We start from the raw sequence: 24450 nt of genomic DNA on the forward strand, positions 1-24450 counted from the left end.
ACCCTGTGGAGTGTGCTGTCCTTTAAAATAAGTCTCTGCTTTGGCTGCCTTGCTTGTGTGGTTTGTTCAGTTCTTTGTTCAAGACGCCAAGAACCTGGACAGCTACCCTCAACTGCATGGTTTAGAGGAACTCTTCTGTTCCACTGAAGGCATTTTGTCTATCTCCAGTGGCAGAAAATTGACTCACTCATAATAGGAGCGATGAAGAAGCGATACTTCTGGCCAACATGGTGAAAAGCCATCTCTACTAAAAATACAAAAATTAGCTGGGCGTGGTGGCGTGTGCCTGAAATCCCAGCTGCTGGGGAGGCTGAGGCAGGAGAATCGCTTAAACTCAGGAGGTGGAGGTTGCAGTGAGCCAAGATCACGCCACTGCACTCTAGCCTGGTGACAGAGCGAGACTTCGTCTCAAAAAAAAAAAAAAAAAAGAAGTGATACTTCGAATACAGTTTTTACCTCAACACAGTGTTGTCTTAATATGGTTTGTACCCGCCTGCCACACACTGATGTGTCATGTATACTTGGGGGTGCTTGTCAGCGCTTTTCAGATATTTAAGATCACCAGACCTCTAGTACACGGTGTGTCCAATCTTTTGGCTTCCCTAGGCCACTTTGGAAGAAGAATTGTCTTGGGCCACACATAAAATACACTAACACTAACAATAGCTAATGAGCTTTAAAAAAAATTGCAAAAAAAAAATCTCATAATGTTTTAATCATGCTTATGAATTAGTGTTGGGCCTCATTCAAAGCCGTCTTGGGCTGCATGCTGCCCATGGGCCGCGGATTGGACAAGCTTGATTTAGTAGATGTTTCCTTGAGTTGGGTATCCAGAGGGCTCCGAAATGAATTACTTGGCAGAATTCTCGTAGGGTAACTGGCTTCCGCTTCATGTGTTCTCTGTTGTCTTTAATTCCCATTTTAGGGAATAATACAAATAGAAAACATGGTCTAAAATTTGTCTCTGGCTTCTCTGCTCTGAAGGCACAACAGACTAGTGTCAGTATTCTAGCCTGAATGATGATAGTCTGTTGCATTGGTCTGAACTTCCTGCTGGCCAGTCAAGATGTGTGATTGCCAGCACTTCATGCTGTACCTGTGTTAACGAGTCAGAAAAAGTAGAGCAATTTATTTCTCCCTTTTTTAGGGAGAAAGCCCTGTGGCTCTCACTGGTGAAGCTTGGTAGTTGGGATATATTTAGCTTACTTGGCTCTGCATGGGGAACGTTTGGTATGTCCTCCACAATAGGTGTGATCATCCTGCTGGGAATCACGATTGCAGGCACTTTTTAATCCAGTGTTGCCTAAGACAAAGTACAATGGATTAGGATATCTGATTGGATGGCCTGTGGTTCTGAATAGAGTTTGTAGCTGGATACATGAAAGATGGGAAGGCAGAGTTGTAGGTGAACAGCTTCACCGTGGTGCCCTGATGACTTGCTCTTCTCATAGACCATGGAGGCAAAGCTTAGGCTTAATCACAGGCTGACCCATATTCTGGCAGGACAACCCTGCAGGTCCTCCAAGAACAAAGTGAGAGAAAAGCAGCCCTGTGAGAAACAGTCACAAAGCAGTTTCTCATCTGCCTCCTTGGTTTCAATTGTGCATAGGACTTTACCACCTTGGGGGGTATACTTGCTGGCTATAAAATGGCCACAGTTTGGTGTTCTCATCTGGCTTGGTGTCATCCCGTGGGGCTGGGGATACTGATCTTGATTTTGCTGTTGGACTTAGTAATATATGAATCCATTTGGCCTTTTGCTGACTGCAGTTACAGAAGCATAGAGAACTGTTCTGCCCCTTCTAACCACTGTGCTGCAAGAGGGAGGATTGCGAGTCTTTGTTAATTTGTTGTGATACTTAAATGAGATAAAAGTATATGAAGCATTCCACATAGTTCTTTACATACAGATTTTCAAATGTTAGTTGTTTATAGTAGTACAGATGTACCTCAGCTTACGATGGAGTTACATTTCGATAACCTGTATTAAGTAGAAAATGTAAGTCAAAAATGGGGTTTTATAGACATGATGGGATGGGAAAACACAACATCCAAAAAACTTAGCTAACACAGTACACCATTGATTGGTTTTTTGTTTTTTTTAATGTGCCGTGGGAGGGGCAGCCCTGCACGCCCGCCCACCCCCACCCCCCACAACACCAGCCTGCCTCCGCAGGGGGGATTTTTGTTTTTTTTGTGTGTGTGTGTGTTTTTCATTGATTGTTAATGCTCATGATCACGTGGCTGACTGGGTGCTATGGCTTGCTGCCACCACCCAGCGTGGAAGAATATCATACTGCCTATCACAGGCCCGGGAAAAGATCAAAATTCAAAGTACAATTTCTGCTGAATGCCTGTATCACTTTTGCATCATTGTAAAGTCAAAATTATTAAGTCATACCATTGTATTGTGGTCCAGGACCATCTGGGCTTAGAAAAATGGATTCTAGAAAGCCTATTTAAGGACTGATAGGCTAATTTTTTCTGTGACTAAGGTGACAGAAAGCCAGAGCTAGTACAGGTTGAATAAATTGTGTTACATTTGGAATTCCTGAAAAGTGGCTTTTTACACTGAATTGTTAGTATTGGTGGTTTGTTAACTTTCTACAGGTATCTCTAATTTTTCGAATGCTTATGTTGCAAGTCAGGTTTTCAATGAAAAATAGACTTTACTCAGTTTAACCATATCAGTGGATACTCTTCAAATAAACTTTCCTTTGTGGAACATAAGAAGTGGAACTTAAAAAGCCATAAGGGAAGTTTTCAATTTAAAATACCAGAGCGAATTTATATATTTTAGGTATAAGAATAGTATTTTAATGTATATTATTTATTTCTTAAGTCCTACGTCTTTTAGGTACTGAAATGCTTACAGATGAAATCATGCTATGTCTGTGGTTGGCATAGATAGAAAAGGAAACAGAAGTGGTCAGGACTTTTTCCCATCTATAAGTTTACATTAGGACTTCTCTTTTTTTTTTTTTTTTGAGACGGAGTCTCACTCTTTCGCCCAAGCTGGACTGCAGTGGCGCTATCCCGGCTCACTGCAAGCTCCGCCTCTTGGGTTCATGCCATTCTCCTGCCTCAGCCTCCCGAGTAGCTGGGATTACAGGCGCCCACCACCATGCCCGGCTAATTTTTTGTATTTTTAGTAGAGACGGGGTTTCACCGTGTTAGCCAGGATGGTCTCGATCTCCTGACCTCGTGATCCGCCCGCCTCTGCCTCCCAAAGTGCTGGGATTACAGGCGTGAGCCACCGCGCCCGGCCTAGGACTTCTCTTTAATGGGGTGTTCAGATAATGTTTGTTTATTCAGCAAATACTGAAACCTGCTAGACATTATCTACATGCATGTGTCTTTTGGGTTGGCCTGAAAGACTTTTATGCCTGTCGTATTGGCTGTTAATAGTACTTTGATTCACTCTGATGATGTTCCACTTACCTTTAATAAATTGTCAACCCACTTTTCTTTCCCTTTTTTGAGACAGATCTTGCTGTGTCATCCAGGCTGGAGTACAGTGGCACTACCATAGTCCACTGCACTCTCGACTTCCCATGCTCAAGTGATCCTTCCATCTCAGCCTCCCAAGTAGCTGGGAATATAGGCGTGTACCACCACGCCTAGCTAGTGTTTCTATTTTTATTTTTATTTTTTTGTAGAGACTGGGTCTTACTGTGTTGCCCATGCTGGTTTTGAACTGCTGGACTCTGCCTCAGCCTCTCAGCATGCTGAGATTATAGGTGTGAGCCACCACACCTGGCCAGTGGTAACCCCTGTGTATAAAACAATTCTTAGGCTGGGATGGCTTGAGCCTCAGGAGTTCAAGACCAGCCTAGGCAACATGGAGAAACCTCATCTCTACAAAACATTAAAAAAATTAGCCACACGGTGGCATTCACCTGTAGTCCCAGCTGCTTGGGAAGCTGTGGTGAGAGAATTGCTTGAGCCCAGGAGGTGGAGTTGGCAGTGAGCTGAGATCGTGCCACTACACTCTAGCCTGGATGACATAGTGAGACCCTGTCTCAAAAAAAATAAACCAAAATTCTTGCTGTGGCTCAGTTTATACTTCCATATTCTATTTCTTGCTGTTTTATCTGACCTACAGCAGACCTGGCCACCATGCCATATTCACAATATTAGGTTCATTTTCTGGTTTGTTTGGTTTTCTTTTGTTTTTGAGACGGAGTCTTGCTCTGTCGCACAGTCTGGAGTGCAGTGGCATGATTCCCGCTCACCACTGCCTCAACCCCCTGGGTTCATCCAATGCCTCAGCCCCCCAAGTAGCTGAGAATACAGGTGTGTGCTACCACAATGCTGCCCAGGTTAGTCTCGAACTTCTGAGCTCAAGTGATCTGCCTGCCTTGGCCTCCCAAAGTTCTGGGATTACAGGTGTGAGCCACTGTGCCCAGCCTAGGTCTATTTTCTTATACTTCTTTCTATTCATGTGTATGTGTGCTTGTGCATGTGTGTTTAACATGGATAGTAATATGGTTATTTCCTATAGGTATAATTTTAGATTATTTTTTGCTTTATAATTTTCTGTAGTAAGCCCAATTTACAAATAAAGGAAGCTGCTGGGTTGACAACTTTTCAGTTATTTGCATTGTGTGGATATAGAATATTTTTTAAATTTCACAGATATTGTTAATCTTAGTGAGATCTTTAATATGAAAGTCCACATCCATAATTATCTTTATGCTTTCTTGCAGCTGTTTACTTCTAATTATTTCCTGATTCACAAATTAATTTTTGCAATTCACAACTTCAAGAATACTTGGACTATTGGATTCAATCCATAGTAATCTGCAAAAGAAGAGAAGCAGAATTATACCTAGAAGTCTACTAATGGACAGTTAGTCACCCACCTACATGTTGAGGTACTCTGGACCTTTTTCTTTCACCTCACTGGAAGGGAATGTGGGTGGGAATTTAAGACATCTACTTCCTTGTTGATTTTCCACCTATTTGTTCTATTCATTGTTGAAAGTAGGGAATTGAAGTCTTCCACTCTTATTGGTGAATTGTGGTTTTTGCTTCTTGTATTTTGATGCTCTTTTAGGTATTAATAACCTACAGATCACATTTGACAGTTTTAAGTAAACAAGCTTCCAGATTAACTTGCTTTGGGGAGGTATTGTGATACAAGATGGTGACATCCTGTCCTTGAGTAAAGAATCTTACACATTCCTCAAATGGGTATACTGATTAATGCATAACCTAACACTCAAAAGGGTGCTGCTTTATTTGTAAATCAGGTTTTATTGATGCAAGTTTTCTTGCACTTAGACATTTTAGCCTATATGTTGCAATCAGTAGCCAATGATTATAACCTCAGTATTGTATCCTCCAACGAAAAAAGACAATTTGAGTATTAGGAGTCCCCCTCCCTTCTCCTATAATTTCATATAAAAGCCTTCCAACTTGTAGCGGACTCCAGAACACTTTGAACTCTGTTGGTATGTCTTCCCAGATTGATCCTCACATTTGGCCTCCAGTAAACCTTTATCAGATTATTTCTACCTCAAGAACCTTCGTTTTAGACAACAGTGCATATATGTTTGTAATTGTTACCTTGATGGGTTGATCCTTTTATCATTATAAAATGCATCTCTTTATCAGCATTTTTTGTCTTAGTCTGTTTTGTCTGATACTAGTATAGGCATTCCTGCTTTCTTTTTTTGAGACGGAGTTTCACTCTTGTTGCCCAGGCTGGAGTGCAGTGGCACAATCTCAGCTCACTGCAGCCTCCGCCTCCCGGATTCAAGTGATTCTCCTGCCTCATCCTCCCAGGTAGCAGGGATTACAGGCATGTACCACTATACCTGGCTAATTTTTTGTATTTGGTGGAGACGGGGTTTCACCAGGTTGGTCAGGCTGGTATTGAATTCCTGATCTCAGGTAATCCACCCACCTCGGCCTCCCAAAGTTCTGGGATTATAGGTGTGAGCCACTGTGCCTGGCCTGCATTCCAGCTTTCTTGTAGCTATTTGTGTGATACTTTTTCATCATTTTACTTTCAGTCTGTGTTTTTGGATCTAAGGTATATCTCTTGGAAACAATAACATATAGTTGGATAGTTTTTAAAATCCAGACTGACATTCTCTGTCTTTTGGATTGTGATATTATGAAATATATCTCTGGTCTTTATCCCTGTTTTCAGGCATACACTCCTAAAATTCGAGCAGTCTCCAAAGTGATAAATGTCTTTTTTGTATGCTAATGAGTTGACTTATGGCTGACATCCCCTAGTTTCAGAATGGAGGGCTGGTCACCTGAAAGACCAAGGCCCGATTAAAGGGTTGGGACTTTTCAGCCCTACCCCTAATTCCTGGTACCAATTGTCTATCTTAGTCCATTTTCTGTTACTTATAGCAGAATAACTGAAACAGGGGCCTTTATGAAGAAAAGGAATTCATTTCTTACACCTTTGAAGGTGCACCTGGTTGAGAGGGAGGGGGTGAGGTTAAGTTGATCACCAATAGCCAATGGTTTAATTAATCAGATCTGTGCAATGAAGCCTCCATAAAACCGGAAAGGATAGAGTTTAGAAGGCTTTTCAGGTTGCTGAGCAGGTGGAGGTTCCTAGAGGGTGGCGTACCCAGGGAGGGCATGGAAATGCTGTGCCCCTTCTCATGTGACCTTGCCTTCTACATCTCTTGAACTGAATCCTTGGTAATATACTTTATAATAAACTGATAAGGTGTTTCCCTGAGTTCTGTGAGCTGCTCTAACACGACAAACCAAAGGAGCGGGACATGGGAATCCCAGTTTACAGCTGGTCGGTCGGAAGCACAGGTAAAATAACCTGGGACTTGGTGTTGGCATCAGAAGTGGGGGGCAGTCTCGGCTGGGCGCAGTGGCTCACGCCTGTAATCCCAGCACTTTGGGAGGCCGAGGTGGGTGGATCACGAGGTCAGGAGATCGAGACCATCCTGGCTAACATGGTGAAACCCTGTCTCTACTAAAAATACAAAAAATTAGCCAGGCGTGGTGGTGGGCACCGGTAGTTCCAGCTACTCAGGAGGCTGAGGCAGGAGAATGGCGTGAACCTGGGAGGCGGAGCTCGCAGTGAGCCAAGATGGTGCCACTGCACTCCAGCCTGGGTGACAGAGTGAGACTCCGTCTCAAAAAAAAAAAAAAAAAAAAGTGGGGGCAGTCTTGCAGGACTGAGCCCTAAACTGATGAGATCTGACACTATCTTCATATAGATAGTCTTGGAATTAAAATGAATTAGAGGACACCCACCTGGTGTGTACACTGCAGAACTGATTGCTTGTTATGTGGGGTGAGACACCCACACATCTGGTGTCAGAAGTGTGAGAAAGTTTATTCCTACATTCTCAGAATTGTTTATATAAAAATGTTATTTTTTATATAATTACATTTACCTCTAATGTTTTACTTTTTGTTTTTATGTCTCGTCTTTTTATTCCTTTCTTATTCCTTAGTGGGGTTTATTTTGCATAAATGAGTATTTTCTAATGTAGCATTTTAATTTCTCTTTGTTTTTTCTGTTTTTAATTTCTTTAACGATATTTTCACTGTATTTTTTGTAACTTCATGGAAGCACAAATTCTTTTTAAAAGTATTTTTTATATTAAACTATCAGTGATGGAGGCTGGCAGAGATCTTGGGGCGAGAATTTATTCTCTCAGAGAAATGGTAGTGATGGACCATGGAAACTTGTCTATGGTAATCTGTGTTAGAATATATTCTTGAAAGTTCTAAGAATACATTATATCCACAAGTAGATTATGCCATCCTAGAGACTGCAGCTGACCCTTGAACAATGTGAGTTTGACCCATGTGGATCCACATACACATGGATTTGACTTTTTTTTTTTTAAGAGATGAGGTCACTCTCTGTTGCCCAGGCTGGAGTGCAGTGTACAGTCATAGCACATTACAGCCTCAAACATCTGGGCTCAAACAGTCCTCCCATCTCTGCCTCCTGAGTATCTGGGACTGCATCCACACACTACCTTGTCTGGCTACACTTGGAGTTTCTTCTGCATCTGCCACTCTACTGCCACCCTAAGTCGTAATCCCTATGTTGTTCAAGGGTCGATTGTATTTTCCTTTCACAGTCTATTTGTGTAGCTAGTAGGCAATCTTCCAAAAACTTCAATTTAGGTCGTTCCGGAGTGCTTTTCGAGTTTTCAGTTTTCTTCTATGCCAGTGAAGGAGAGGGATGGAGGAAAAAAAAAAAACCAAATTAACATAAAGATAGTTTCCCTTCCTACCCATATGCTCTGTATTAATTGCTAGGGCTGTGTTTGAGATAGGAAAACCAAAACTTCTTCACACAACTGACCACTTCATCTCTGGTCACCAGAATGTATTTGGATTTCTTCCCATCCGCAAACTGTTTTCCAGCTGACAACAACTGGGTGTCCTACAATTCAATTACATGTTGGCATCATCTACCTGGAGAAAGCTTCAGATCCCACAGGTTGAGGACTCAGTCCCACAAGACTGCCCCTGACTTCGCCAGACCTGTACTTTTGACCAACCTGTTACAAAGAGGGGATTGTCAAGACTCCCTCCGTGGATTTGATTAATTTGCTAGAGCTCACAGAACTCAGGGAAATAGTTTACTTATTATAAAGCCTATTAGATGAAGAGCCAGGTGGAAGAGATGCATGGGGGAATGCATATGTGAGCGCTTCCATGCCCTCTCCAGGTGCTGCCCCACCCTACGGTCACCTCTATGTTACCAGACACTCCTGTTACTCAGGAGATTACAAAGGTCTCAGGAGCTCTGTGTCAGGAACCGGGTTCAAAGACCACGTATTAGTGCAAAAGATTGTATACCCCAATCTACAAGAGTTTTAGGTGCCCCGTGTCTGGAATCATGGGCAGAGACCAAGTATGTATTTCTTATCGTGGGCTACTATGACAGTAATGCCACAGACTGGGTGGAGAAATTTATTTCTCCCAGTTCCGGCGGCTAGAAGTCCAGGGTCAATATGTTTGATTTCTGTTCTCTTGAAGCTTCTCTCTCAGTGGCTTGCAGGTGACTGTCTTCTTGCTGTGTCCTAACGTGGTCCTTCCTCTGTGGGCCGACATCGCTGGTGTCCCTCTTCCTATGGGGGATACTAGTCGGATTAGAGCCCCACTCTAATGACCTCACTTAACCAATTATCTCCTTAAAGGCCCTATCTCCAAATACACTGAGGGTCAGGGCTTTCACTTATGAATTTTGGGGAGGGTACAATTCAGTTCATGAGACTCTCTCCTCCAAGTTGACGTAAAAGCCAGGGGACAGTGAGGGGGACGGGCAGTTATGAAGCATCATTAATTCTCCTTAGAAGTGCTGCTTTTCTTCTGTCAGTGAACACTGTGACCCATTCTGCTTCCAACCTTGTGGACTAGTCAAAGTAGTGAGAGGAACAGAGTCCTAACGCCTGAGAGTTGTAAAATGAGTGTCAGCATGTGGTGGCTGCCTTTTTTTTTTTTTTTTAACGGATAGACTTTATTTTCTAGAAGAGTTTTAGGTTTAAAGAAAATTGAGGTCAGGCATGGTGGTTCACGCCTGTAATCCCAGCACTTTGGGAGGCCAAGGCAGGCAGATCATGAGGTCAGGAGTTTGAGACCATCTTGGCCAACATGGTGAAACCCCATCTCTAGCAAAAATATAAAAAATGAGTCAGGCATGGTGGCGCGCGCCTGTAGTCCCAGCTACTCGGGAGGCTGAGGCAGGAGAATTGCTTGAACCCGGGAGGTGGAGGTTGCAGATCGTGCCACTGCACTCCAGCCTGGGCGACAGAGCGAGACTCCATCTGAAAAAAAAAGAAAAAGAAAACTGAGCTTATAGTACAGAGCATTCCCATATAAGAGCTTTATAGGAACCTCCCATCTCCAAAACTCTAAGGTTCCACTATTAGCAACTTGGATTAGTCATACTGATATGTTATTATTAAAGTCCATCACTAACATTAGAGTTTACTCTGTATCCAATGGGTCTTACGGGTTTTGATAAATGCTTAATAGTATGCATCTACTATTATAAGAGAGCTTTAAAAAATAACTTTATGAAATCAAAACATACCTAAGAAAGGGTACAAATGGTAAGTGTATAATGCAGTGGATTATGTAGGGAACACACTTGTGTGTAAGTATCACCCTGGTCAAAAGCAGTCTTCATGCTACTTAACTACCAATTGCTATTCCATCACACTTTGTAAAAAGTACCACTACAGTCCCTAGATGGTTGGTTTTGTCTGTGTTTCAATCTTTATATAAATGGAATCATGGATTATTCTTTAATCTCTGGCCTTTTTCACTCAGTCTTGTGTTTGTTAGATTCATGTTGCATATAGCCTTTTATTTTTGTTACTATAGTGTTTCATTAATATGAATACATTTCTATTTTGTTTGTTTCCAGTTTTTGCTTACTGCACCTAATGCTGCTGGCAGTGTTATAATTATGCATTTCTGTTTGGTACATACCTAGGAATGAAACTTCTAGGTCTCAGGGCTTGCATTTATTAACCCTTGGTAGATGATGCCATACGTCTTTCCAAAGTGTTGGTTACTTTAAGGATCATGATATACTCCTATCACCATTGTAGGAGAGTTCCATTTGTTCCATTTTCTTGCCAACATGTGGTATTGAGAGTTGAAAAAATTCTAGCCATTGTGTATAGTATTACCACCTTATGGTTTTCATTTACATTTCTGATATTCATAATGGATTTAGCACTTACCAAAAATTTTGCCATTTAAATATAGTTGACCATTGAATAACATAGGAATTAGGATAACTGACTCTTGTGCAGTAAAAAAAATCCACATTTAACTTTTGACTCCGCCAAAACTTGATTAACAATAGCATGCTGTTCAGTGGAAGCCTTAACAGTAACATTAAACAGTTGATAAACACATATTTTGTATGTTACATGTATTATATGCTGTATTCTTAGAATAAGCTTGAGAAAAGGAAATTTTATTAAGAAAATCATAAGGGATTGGGTGCGGCGGATCACAAGGTCAGGAGTTCGAGACCAGCCTGGCCAACATGGTGAAACCCTGTCTCTACTAAAAATACAAAATTAGCCTGGCATGGTGGTGGGACCCTGTAATCCCTGCTGCTCGGGAGGCTGAGACAGGAGAATCACTTGAACCCAGGAGGCAGAGGTTGCAGTGAGCCGAGATCGCACCACTGCACTCCAGTCTGGGTGACAGAGCGAGACTCCATCTCAAAAAAAAACCAAAATCATAAGAGAATATATTTACTATTCATTAAGTGGAAATGGATCATCATAAAGGTGTTTATCCTCATCACATTTATCTTAACTAGGCGGAGGAGGAGGGAAGAGAAGGGGTTGGTCTTGCTGTCTCCAGGGTAGCATAGACAAAAGAAAATCCACGTATAAGTGGACCCACGCACTTCAAAGCCACGTTCAAGGATCAACTGTAGTGTCTCATACAGTGTTTAATTAAGCTTCATGCTTATTTTTTATTGAGTTGTCTACATTTTTCTTTTTACGTAATTCCCTATATAGGCTGGATATGATCTCTTTGCTATGTATTGCGAATATAATCTTCTAGAGAGTGACTTTACTTTTTCACTTCCTTAATGGTGTTTTTTGATAAACAGTGGTGATTAATTTTGATGCAGTCCGTTTTATGGACCTTTTTTCTTATTGTTCATTGTGCCCTGTTATAGGAACCTTCCCCTATCCCGAGGGCATAAAGATATTCTCATGTTTTTTTGAGATGGAGTTTCGCTTTTGTTGCCCAGGCTTGAGTGCGGTGGTGCGACCTCGGCTCACTGCAACCTCCGCCTCCCTGGTTCAAGGGATTGTCCTACCTCAGCCTCACGAGTAGCTGGGATTACAGGTGTGTGCCACCACATCCGGCTAATTTTTGCATTTTTAGTAGAGACGGGGGCTTCACCATCCATGTTGGTCAGGTTGGTCTCAAACTTCTGACCTCAGGTGATCTGCCCGCCTCGGCCTCCCAAAGTGCTGGGATTTACAGGCGTGGGCCACCATGCCTGGCCTGTTTCTGGAAACTTTAAAACGATAATCTACCTGGGATTGATTTGTTTGTATATGTCTCTTGCTGTGTAATTGGATAAGGCTTATTTTCATTCGTGGCATATAGATAACCAATTGACCTAGCTTCATGTATTGAAAAGAACTTTTTTCCTAACTTTGTCATAAAACAAGTGTCTATATATAAAAGTGTGTGTATGTCTTCGCTATTCATGCTTGTTTTGCATTTCCATGGAAAGTTTATAATCAAGCTTGTTACCCCAAAAAATCAAAAAATCCACTGGGATTGTATTGACTCTTAATTACTTTTTCTTTCTTTCTTTTTTTTTTTTTTTTTTTTTGAGACAAGAGCTCATTCTGCTGCCCAGGCTGGAGTGCAAATGGTGCAATCTCAGCTCACTGCAACCTCCACCTCCCAGGCTCAAGTAATCCTCCCACCTCAGCCTTCCAAGTAGCTGGGACAACAGGTGTGCACACCTGGCTAATTTTTTTTTTGTATTTTTGGTAGAGACAGGATTTCACCATGTTGTTCAGGCTGGTCTTGAACTTCTGACCTCAAGCAGTCGCCCAGCTCAGCCTCCCAAAGTGCTGGGATTACAGGCAAGAGCCACTGCGCTTGACCTAAATTTTGAGATTATTGGCATCTTTAATGCTGTCTTCAAATATTTGAACATGGCATATCTTTACACTCAGCTGTTTGTTAGAGATGTGACACATCCTTCATTTTCTAAGTATTTTTTTAATGGTATTTTAAAAGATTACTGCTGATAATATTCTTGCATTTTGACCTTATTTTTGGGCATTGTAATAAACAGTAAAACAAAAAGATCTCTACATAGTTTTGGATTTTCTGTATAACATCTGATACTCAGTTTTGTGTTTTCCTCTCTGCTTATACTCCTAATATTTTTTTCTTTATACCAGCTAGGATCTCCAGTAAAATGATTAATGGAGGGATAGTGGCATCTTCCATGTTACTATTTAATTGTTTTAGCTACCATTTATCAAAAGAAGTTTCCATCTTTATAATTTTTTAAATATGTAGGTATTTGGGGTTTTTTTTTGTTTTTTGTTTTTTGTTTTGAGACGGGCTCTCGCTCTGTCGCCAGGCTGGAGTGTAGTGGCGCAATCTCAGCTCATTGCAACCTCCACCTCCTGGGTTCAAGTGATTCTCCTGCCTCAGCCTCCTGAGTAGCTGGGACTACAGGTGCCCGCCACCACACCCAGCTAATTTTTTTTTTTTTTTTTTTTTGTATATTTAGTAGAGGCCGGGGTTTCACCGTGTTGGCCAGGATGGTCTCCATCTCCTGACCTCGTGATACCCCTGCCTCAGCCTCCCAAAGTGCTGCGATTACAGGATTACAGGTGTGAGGCACTGTGCCCGGCAGTATTTGATTTTGTCAGAAATTCTTATCTTAGATTTTTGAAATGATCTCATGATTTTTTTTTTTTTTTTTGAAACGGAGTCTAGCTCTGTCACCCAGGCTGGAGTGCAGTGGCGCCATCTGGGCTCACTGCAAGCTCCGCCTACCGGGTTCTCACCATTCTCCTGCCTCAGCCTTCTGAGTAGCTGGGACTACAGGCACCTGCCACCACACCTGGCTAATTTTTTGTATTTTTAGTAGAGACGGGGTTTCACTGTGTTAGCCAGGATGGTCTCGATCTCCTGACCTCATGATCCGCCCACCTTGGCCTCCCAAAATGCTGGGATTACAGGCGTGAGCCACTGCACCTGGCCCCACAGTACTTCTGACACCAGATGTGTGGGAATTTTTTCCCAACTGACCAATTCTCTCCACATACCAACTGGGTGGCTTGTGATTTGATTCAGTTCTGACACTGTCTACCTGATGTTACCATCAGAACCCACAAGTTAAAGGGCTCAGTCCTACAAGACTGCCCCCACTTGAAGCTAGTCACAAGTCCAGGTTTGTACTTCTGACCAACTGGCTATAAAGCAAACAAGGTATGCTTTCTCTGAGGTCACTACCTTCCCAGCACTTCAGTGTGTTCTGTTCACCAGCCCAGAAGCTCGGCTCATCACATCTCAATGTTCAAGAGTTTTGTTTTTTAAAAAAAACAGCCTTACTCTGTCACCCAGGCTGGAGTGGAGTGGTGCCACCATGGCTCACTGCAGCCTCAACCCCCAGGCTCAGATGATCCTCCCTACACTGCCTTCTGTTTTCTGAGTAGGTGGCTGGGACTACGGGCATGCACCACCATGACGGGGTAATTTTTTTTTTTTTTTAATTTTCAGTAGAGACAGGGTTTCACTATGTTTCCCAGGCTGGTCTTGAACTCCTGGGCTCAAGAGATCTTCCTGCCTCAGCCTCACAGACTGCTGGGATTACAGGCATGAGCCACCACACCCAGCCAAGACTTTTTATAGAGTCCAATCTCCAGCTCCCCCCACCACTTTATGGAGGTCAGTGGTTAGAACTAAAAGTTCCAACCGTCTAATACTTGGTTTTCCTGGTGACCACCAGCTGTATCCTGATGGTATCTAGGGGCCCCCACTTTAAGTCACCTTAGTAGCATAGACTCAGGTATGTGCATACAGAGTTCATTATGAATAACAAAAGATATTTATGAATTAGTGTTTGCTTATGCCAGAAATTTTCTTTTCCTTTTTTTTTTTTTTTTTTTTGAAACAGAGTCTTCACTCTGTCACCCAGACTAGAGTGCAGTGGTGTGATCTTGGCTTACTGTATCCTCCACCTCCCAGGTTCAAGTGATTCTTGTGCATCAGCCTCCTGAGTAGCTGGGATTACAGGTGTGCACCACCACACCCCGCTAATTTTTGTATTTTTAGTAAAGATGGGGTTTGGCATGTTAGCCAGGCTGGTCTCAAACTCTTGGCCTCAGGTGATCCACCTGCCTCTGCCTCCCAAAGTGCTAGGATTACAGGCATGAGCCACCGCACCCGGCCTTATGCCAGAAATTTACTGAGTTCATTAAGGTAACCTTGAATAGCCCTGGGGAGTTTAGACTTTGCGAATGAACAATGAGAATGTTTTTAACCATATGTTTGAACTTCCCTTTTTTTTTAAATTCTCATTTTTATTGTCATGTTAGCTTTTTTAAAAAATGCAGTTAGCATGGATTACTTAGAAGAAAGTCTGTTAAAAATAAGTAAAAACAGAAGGTGATTGGCATTTAAATGTAACAAAAAGCTAGCTGTCATTGTGTGGAATGAATTTCTGTTAAACACGTTAGAAATTTCATTGACACTTGCCTTATTTATTGTTGTATCCTCTATTGCTCCTCTTCTTCCCAAATTAAAGATGAGGCTGCTCTGAAGATTCAGTAATTAGGATGGACAGTCAGCTACTAATTTTCTTAGATATTCTATCTAGGCAAAACAGCATTTTAATAAAATATCTTTATTTCTTACAGATTCCTGACATTCAGACAACTGACTTGTAACTGACTTATAACTGACTTGTAATACACTGCTACTATATCAAACCGACAATGAATTGGAATGAAAAACCAAAGAGTGCTACATTACCACCACTGTATCCTAAAAGCCAGCCACCTTTTTTGCACCAGTCTTTAATAAACCAAATTACCACAACATCTCAGAGTTCTTTCAGCTATCCTGGAAGTAACCAAGAAGCATGCATGTATCCCGGTAATTCAAATCCAATTTCACAGCCACTGCTGAATATCCAAAATTATCCTCAACAAATTTCTGTTTCTGATATGCATAATGGGACAGTTGTGGCCTCACACACTTCAGTAGAAAGAATAACATATGCAAATGTTAATGGACCCAAACAACTAACTCACAATTTGCAGATGTCTTCAGGAGTTACCCAAAACGTATGGTTGAACTCACCAATGAGGAATCCTGTGCATTCTCATATAGGGGCAACTGTATCTCATCAAACTGATTTTGGAGCTAACGTACCCAATATGCCGGCACTACAGAGTCAACTGATAACATCAGATACCTATTCTATGCAAATGCAGATGATCCCTTCTAATTCTACACGACTTCCTGTAGCTTACCAAGGAAATCAGGGACTTAACCAGTCTTTTTCAGAGCAACAGGTTGATTGGACACAACAGTGTATATCTAAGGGACTGACTTACCCAGATTACAGACCACCTCCAAAGCTATACCGTTACTCACCACAAAGCTTTTTACCAGATTCTACCATTCAAAAACAAAACTTTATACCACATACATCATTGCAAGTTAAAAATAGTCAGCTTCTAAATTCTGTATTAACTTTACCATCAAGGCAGACCTCAGCTGTACCATCACAGCAGTATGCCACGCAAACTGACAAAAGACCTCCTCCTCCTCCTTACAACTGTAGATATGGAAGCCAGCCTTTGCAAAGTACTCAGCATATTACTAAACACTTGTCTATGGAAGTTCCTCAGAGTCGAGAAATGCTGTCATCTGAAATAAGGACCAGCTTTCAACAGCAGTGGCAAAACCCTAATGAAAATGTCAGCACAATTGGAAATTTCACTAACTTGAAAGTAAATACCAACAGCAAACAGCCTTTTAACAGTCCCATTAGATCTTCTGTGGATGGTGTTCAGACTCTTGCTCAAACTAATGAAGAGAAAATAATGGATTCTTGCAATCCAACTTCAAATCAAGTACTGGACACAAGTGTTGCAAAAGAAAAGCTAGTAAGGGATATTAAAACATTAGTAGAGATAAAACAGAAGTTTTCAGAACTTGCAAGGAAAATTAAAATCAATAAAGATCTTTTGATGGCAGCAGGTTGTATTAAAATGACTAATACTTCTTATAGTGAACCAGCTCAGAATTCTAAATTGTCTCTAAAACAAACTGCCAAAATCCAGTCTGGACCCCAGATAACTCCAGTAATGCCAGAGAATGCAGAGAGACAAACACCAACAGTAGTGGAATCTGCAGAAACAAATAAGACTCAATGTATGTTGAATTCTGACATTCAGGAAGTCAATTGCAGAAGGTTTAACCAAGTTGATTCTGTTTTACCAAATCCTGTCTATTCTGAAAAGCGGCCAATGCCAGACTCATCTCATGATGTGAAAGTTCTCACTTCAAAGACATCAGCTGTTGAGATGACCCAGGCAGTATTGAATACTCAGCTTTCATCAGAAAATGTTACCAAAGTTGAGCAAAATTCACCAGCAGTTTGTGAAACAATTTCTGTTCCCAAGTCCATGTCCACTGAGGAATATAAATCAAAAATTCAAAATGAAAATATGCTACTTCTCGCTTTGCTTTCACAGGCACGTAAGACTCAGAAGACAGTATTAAAAGATGCTAATCAAACTATTCAGGATTCTAAACCAGACAGTTGTGAAATGAATCCAAATACCCAAATGACTGGTAACCAACTGAATTTGAAGAACATGGAAACTCCAAGTACTTCTAATGTAAGTGGCAGGGTTTTGGACAACTCCTTTTGCAGTGGACAAGAATCCTCAACAAAAGGAATGCCTGCTAAAAGTGACAGTAGCTGTTCCATGGAAGTGCTAGCAACCTGTCTTTCCCTGTGGAAAAAGCAACCTTCAGATACTGCAAAAGAAAAGGAGTGTGATAAACTCAGAACAAACACAACAGCAGTTGGAATTTCAAAGCCTGCTAACATCCACGTTAAGAGTCCTTGTTCAGTTGTGGGAAATTCAAATTCTCAGAATAAAATAAGTAATCCCTCACAGCAGACAGCTTTGTCGATGGTAATGCACAATTATGAGTCTTCAGGTATAAATATAACAAAGGGAACAGAACTTCAGATAGCTGTAGTGTCACCGTTAGTTCTGTCAGAGGTCAAAACATTGTCTGTCAAAGGAATAACACCTGCAGTGTTACCTGAAACAGTGTATCCCGTTATTAAAGAAGGCAGTGTTTGTAGTTTACAAAATCAATTGGCAGAAAATGCAAAGGCAACTGCTGCTTTGAAAGTTGATGTTAGTGGACCAGTAGCAAGTACAGCAACATCAACCAAGATTTTTCCACTAACTCAGAAGGAAAAGCAGAATGAGTCAACTAATGGTAATTCAGAAGTCACACCTAATGTCAATCAAGGAAAGCATAACAAATTAGAGTCAGCTATCCATTCTCCTATGAACGATCAGCAAATCTCACAGGAGTCAAGGAATAGTACTGTTGTGAGTAGTGATACATTACAGATTGACAATATTTGTTCTCTGGTTGAAGGTGATACCTCTTACAATTCCCAAATAGCAAAGATATTCAGCTCTCTTCCCTTGAAAATGGTTGAGCCACAGAAACCTTCTCTACCCAATCAGCAAGGGATTGGCAGCAGAGAACCAGAAAAACAATTAGATAATACCACTGAAAATAAAGACTTTGGTTTTCAAAAAGATAAACCTGTACAGTGCACAGATGTTTCACATAAAATATGTGATCAGTCAAAGTCAGAGCCACCCTTAGAGTCATCTTTTAACAATCTTGAAACAAACAGAGTTATTCTAGAGAAAAGTAGTTTGGAGCATGCCACTGAAAAAAGCACAGCTAACGATACGTGCTCGTCAGCTGCTATTCAGGAGGATATTTACCCTCAGGAAATAGATGCATCCAGCAACTATACTCCCCAAGATCCTGCAAGAAATGAAATCCACAGTGATAAGGCACCTGTCTTATACCTACATGACCAGCTGTCAGAACTTCTAAAAGAGTTTCCTTATGGCATTGAGGCTGTGAATACACGTGAAGGTTCTGTGGGCCAGCAAACTACATACCAGACCTCAGAAGATCAAACTGCTGATAAAACCAGTTCTGACTCCAAAGACCCAGCAGATCAAATACAAATTACAATATTAAGCTCAGAGCAAATGAAAGAAATATTTCCTGAACAGGATGATCAACCCTATGTAGTAGACAAGTTGGCAGAACCTCAGAAAGAAGAGCCCATCACAGAAGTAGTTAGCCAGTGTGACCTGCAGGCACCTGCAGCTGGACAAAGTCGTGATTCTGTGATACTGGACTCTGAGAAAGATGATATCCACTGCTGTGCATTGGGCTGGCTCTCCATGGTTTACGAAGGAGTACCCCAGTGTCAGTGTAATTCCATCAAGAACTCATCTTCAGAGGAAGAGAAACAAAAAGAGCAGTGTTCTCCTTTGGATACCAACAGTTGTAAACAAGGAGAGAGAACTTCTGATAGAGATGTCACTGTTGTTCAATTTAAGAGCCTTGTAAATAATCCAAAGACTCCTCCAGATGGGAAAAGTCATTTTCCTGAACTACAAGACGACAGTAGAAAAGATACACCCAAAACAAAACATAAAAGCTTACCAAGGACAGAACAAGAATTAGTTGCTGGTCAGTTTTCATCTAAATGTGATAAACTAAATCCCTTGCAAAATCACAAAAGAAAAAAATTGAGGTTTCACGAGGTAACCTTTCACTCCAGTAATAAAATGACAGCATCTTATGAACAAGCTTCTCAGGAAACCCGACAGAAGAAACATGTAACACAGAACTCACGTCCACTAAAAACAAAAACAGCTTTTTTGCCAAATAAAGATGTGTATAAGAAGCATAGTTCTTTGGGACAGTCATTATCACCAGAAAAGATAAAATTGAAACTCAAATCAGTTAGCTTCAAACAAAAACGAAAGTTAGACCAAGGGAACGTATTAGATATGGAAGTAAAGAAAAAGAAACATGATAAACAAGAACAGAAAGGAAGTGTGGGAGCTACATTCAAATTAGGTGACTCTTTGTCAAACCCAAACGAAAGAGCCATTGTTAAAGAAAAGATGGTATCAAATACTAAGTCTGTAGACACGAAAGCGAGTTCATCTAAATTTAGTAGAATTCTAACTCCTAAGGAGTATTTACAAAGGCAGAAGCATAAAGAAGCTCTGAGTAATAAAGCATCGAAGAAAATCTGTGTGAAAAACGTGCCATGTGATTCTGAACATATGAGACCAAGTAAACTTGCCGTGCAGGTTGAAAGTTGTGGGAAATCAAATGAGAAACACAGCAGCGGCGTGCAGACCTCTAAAGAATCATTAAATGGCTTGACAAGCCATGGTAAAAACCTCAAAATCCACCATTCTCAGGAGTCTAAAACATACAACATTCTAAGGAATGTTAAAGAAAAAGTTGGTGGGAAGCAGCCTGATAAAATATGGATTGATAAGACTAAATTAGACAAATTAACCAATATAAGCAACGAAGCTCAATTCAGCCAAATGCCTCCCCAAGTAAAGGATCAAAAGAAATTATATCTGAATAGAGTTGGGTTTAAATGCACTGAACGTGAAAGCATTTCTCTCACCAAATTAGAAAGTTCACCCAGGAAGCTTCATAAAGATAAGAGACAGGAAAATAAACATAAGACCTTTTTACCGGTGAAAGGTAACACAGAAAAATCAAACATGCTGGAGTTTAAATTATGTCCAGATATCTTACTAAAGAATACAAACTCTGTGGAAGAACGGAAGGATGTAAAGCCTCATCCTAGGAAGGAGCAAGCCCCTCTGCAAGGTCCAGTATGATTTTCTTGGTGGTGTCTACAATATTGTAAAGAGTCGTAGGTCAATATTTGGGCTAGCACCTCTCATGCTGTCTTGGGCTGCTGGGAAAGACTTTAATGTGTTATGCCACTACCTAGTATTTGTTTTGCCTGGTAAACCAATGTTTCATTGGGCAATATTTGTTTTGTGTTCATTGCCACCTTATTGTAAATTGTAGAAAATTGGTCGTCATGACGAGCTATATGTAAAACTTGCCAGATAGAAATATTTCAGTTAGTACCAAGAAGGCTGTACTGTGAAAAACATTCCACATTCCTTGTGGGAATGTCAGAAAAGTGTCAAGTAGCTAGTAATGTAAGAGTCTTGGTTTTGTTAATTCTCCTTTGGACTTGTAATTTGAAAGCCCTGTGAACTTGAAATTTTGTTCTGAATGTTAGAGGATAAGTAATGATGAATACTGAAGTCTTTTTGTTCATATGGAAATGGGTCAACTAATTGTCCTCTTTGAAACAGTTGATGGCTGTGTTATCACTATATTTAAAATGGTAACATCTAGCCTACTCATAAGATAGAAGAACCTTGAAAGCAGTATTGTCCAGTGTTATAATTTAAAATCTTTAAAGCCAAGCTGGCAGCTATGAATATTAGGTAGCTTAATGGTAGACTTCTCAATGTAGTGCAGGAAGGAAGGAGAAAATTGATAACTAGTTGTTCATGGTACTAAGGGAACATTTAGACATAGTGGATATTATATGTAAAGCATTGTGCTGAGAAAGATTGGAAAACTAAAGGATTTGAATGGAAATTGAAGTCTTTGCTCTGCTTTTCTGACTATATTTGTTGGGGTTCATAAAACAATAGCATAAACAGGATATGTTTTCCTGGAAAAGAAGATAGGGATATATTCATTTTGTAAAAAATTGGTGATTTCAATAGGTTCTTTCATTTGGATCCTTGGAATTTGAGGTGGGGATATAATGGGAACATTGGAAGTGGGTGGGGGCAATGTAGTTTTCTATCTCATGTGTCCTTTAATATCTGGAGATGTATTAACCTCTTCAGTTCATGTGAGGGGAACATAATTACATAGTAAAGATAAACTCATTTTTTAATTGAGGTAAGCATTTCAAATAGAAATCATTTTTCCAGTCCTTTTTTTAGAGTTGTGTTACATGTGGTTATATCTAGGGCCTTTCAAAATCTATTTTCAGCTTACATGATTTTCCTTTGTTATAGTACTAAAGGAGATGATTAGCAATATCTAGAGTTCTGAAAATGAATATTTAAATAGTTTCAGGAATAAAAAGTACAAAAGAAGACTGGTTAAAATTTGTTGCTACAAAGAAAAGGACACAGAAAGACAGCCAAGAGAGAGGTAAAGTCATCTTTTTAAATCTTCATTCACTTATCTCCCTATCTGGTATATGGAAATTGGATTATGGTTATGATATGATTGTAAAGTATGATTTTATCCATGTTCTTTTTTTTTTTTCAGTCATTCAGTGTTTGTGTTTGAGTGGTAGGAGGACATTTTTGTGTTGTCGTGCTGTGGAATGAAAGGCTGAGCTTTATTTTATTTTAATAGGAAAATAAGTCTTATCACAATGAGTTAGCTAAGAGGTTTGCATATTTTACCTGTATAGGACCAGACAGCAAATACTTTAGGTTTTCTGGGTCATAAGGTGTCTGTCCTGACTACTCAGCTCTGACTCTGTTTCAGGGAAATGGCTGCAGATAATATGTAGATGAGTATCAGCTGTGTTCTGATTAACTATTTATTTATTTATTTATTTATTTATTTATTTTGAGACAGAGTCTCACTCTGTCACCCAGGCTGGAGTGCAGTGGCGTCATCTTGGCTCACTGCAACCTCTGCCTCCCAGGTTCAAGCGATTTTCTCCCTCAGCTTCCCAAGTAGCTGGGACTGCAGTTGCATACCACCACGCCCAGCTAATTTTTGTATTTTTAGTAGAGGCAGGGTTTCACCGTGTTGGCCAGGCCGGTCCCAAACTCCTGACATCAGGTAATCCACCTGCCTCGGCCTCCCAAAGTGCTGGGATTACAGACATGAGACACCGTGCCTGGCCTCTAATTAAACTTTATCTACCAAAATAGGCAGCAGGCTGGACTTAGTTTGCCAGACCCTGGATTCAATTATTTACATGTTAATTTGATTAATCTTCAATACAATTTAGGCAAGGATATTTCCATTTTATAGATGAGAGGTTACATCATTTGACTTAAGTTTCATTGCTAGTGACTGAATAGGGACTTGAATCTGGTCCCCTCTTTTCAAAGTCCATTAAGTGTGGTTGAGGTATAGTCAGCCCTCCGTATCTGCGTGTTCCGTATCTGTGGATTCAAGCAACTGTGGATCCAAAATATTTGGGAAAAAAATTAATACAACCATAAAAATAGAAACTTAAAAGACAATATAGTATAACAACTGTTTACATAGCATTTACATTGTATTAGGTATTAAAAGTAATCTAGAAATTATTTAAGGTATGTGTGGGGGGTATGCTTTAGGTTATATACAATATACTATGCCATTTTACATAAGGAACTTAAGCATCCCCAGATTTTGGTATCTATTTGGGTGGATGCTGCAGAAGTGTCCTGGAATCAGTCCCTCTTCAATACCCAGGGATGACTGTATTTTAATAATGAGACCGGTCCTAGCTGTGTTATTTGCTGGGAAGGGATTTGGGCTGAGGACCAACTAGAAAAAGTAGAGCTTTGAGTATTTGATTTTTTTTTTGAGACGGCATCTTGCTCTGTCTCCCAGGCTGGAGTACAGTGGCACGATCTCGGCCTTGCTGCAACCTCTGCATTCCAGGTTCAAGCAATTCTTCTGCCTCAGCCTCCTGAGTAGCTGGGACTACAAGCACACTACCACGCCTGGCTTATTTTTGTATTTTTAGTAGAGACTGGATTTCTCTCACTATGTTGGCCAGGCTGGTCTCAAACTCCTGAACTCAGGTGATCCACCTGCCTCGGCCTCCCAAAATGCTGGGATTACAAGCATGAGCCACCGTGTCCACCCGAATATATGATTTAATTAGTGGAGTGAAAGTACCTTGTTGTTAGGGTTTGGCTTTGAAAACTAAAAGCTAGAGCTCAAGAGTTTTTGTCTTAGTTTTGGTTCATTAAATGGGCAAAGAGGGGGCTGGGCACGGTGGCTCACACCTGTAATCTCAGCACTTTGGGAGGCCGAGGCAGGCGGATCATGAGGTCAGGAGATTGAGACCATCCTGGCTAACACGGTGAAACCCTGTCTCTACTGAAAATATAAAAAATAAGCCGAGTGTGGTGGCGGGCACCTGTAGTCCCAGCTACTCGGGAGGCTGAGGCAAGAGAATGGCATGAACCCAGGAGGCGGAGCTTGCCATGAGCCAATATGTCGCCACTGCACTCCAGCCTGGGTGACAGAGAGAGAGTCTTGTCTCAAAAAAAAAAAAAAAAAAATAGGCAAAGAGGGGTTCAGAGCCTCAAAAATGGAGAGCAGCAGAAACTCACCAAGAGAAACAATAAGAAGCACATTTTATAAAAGGAATTGACAACGGTTGTGAAGAGAGCTTCAAACAAATACTTAGAAGCAGGCGTGTAAAAATTGAGTAGAGGCCGGGCGAGGTGGCTCACGCCTGTAATACCAGCACTTTGGGAGGCCGAGGCAGGCAGATCGCCTGAGGTCAGAGGTTCGAGACCAGCCTGGCCAACATTATGAAACCCCATGCCTACTAAAAATATAAAAATTAGTCAGGTGTAGTGGCACATGCCTGTAATACCAGCTATTCAGTAGGCTGAGACGGGAGAATCACTTGAACCTGTGAGGCGGAGGTTCCAGTGAGCTGAGATCGGACCACTGCACTCCAGCTTGGGCGACAGAGCAAAACTCTGTCTCAAAAAAAAAGTCAGTTAGCATTGAAACATGCATATGGGAAAAACTTGCATCAATGAAGAAATATACTCTTAATCAGAA

General features: G+C 41.0%; 1 protein-coding gene across 5 annotated transcripts in view, besides 1 other annotated feature; it reads left to right on the forward strand.

Annotated features, from left to right (window-relative positions):
* RESF1 (retroelement silencing factor 1) overlaps positions 1 to 24450 on the forward strand; it is a 33693-nt gene that overhangs the window by 6065 nt on the left and 3178 nt on the right. For 2 of the 5 annotated variants that reach the window (XM_011520722.2, NM_018169.4), the window contains exons 3-5: positions 4710 to 4877; positions 15399 to 20478; positions 21760 to 21843. In XM_011520722.2, the coding sequence (XP_011519024.1) occupies positions 15477 to 20478; positions 21760 to 21843 (5086 nt within the window). In that variant the 5' untranslated portion in view covers positions 4710 to 4877; positions 15399 to 15476. Of the gene's footprint in view, positions 1 to 4709; positions 4878 to 15398; positions 20479 to 21704; positions 21844 to 24450 lie in introns of those variants that run through there. The other 3 variants (XM_017019550.3, XM_005253405.4, XM_006719099.4) reach the window with 2 other exon arrangements.
* Positions 1643 to 1712: an enhancer, noted in NCBI's record as "active region_6180". NCBI's record gives its function as "activates an Ori minimal core promoter by ATAC-STARR-seq in GM12878 lymphoblastoid cells {active_cell/tissue: GM12878}" and the evidence as "EXISTENCE:reporter gene assay evidence [ECO:0000049][PMID:35858748]".

This window comes from Homo sapiens, chromosome 12, assembly GCF_000001405.40.
Source record: "Homo sapiens chromosome 12, GRCh38.p14 Primary Assembly".
NCBI lineage: Eukaryota > Metazoa > Chordata > Mammalia > Primates > Hominidae > Homo > Homo sapiens.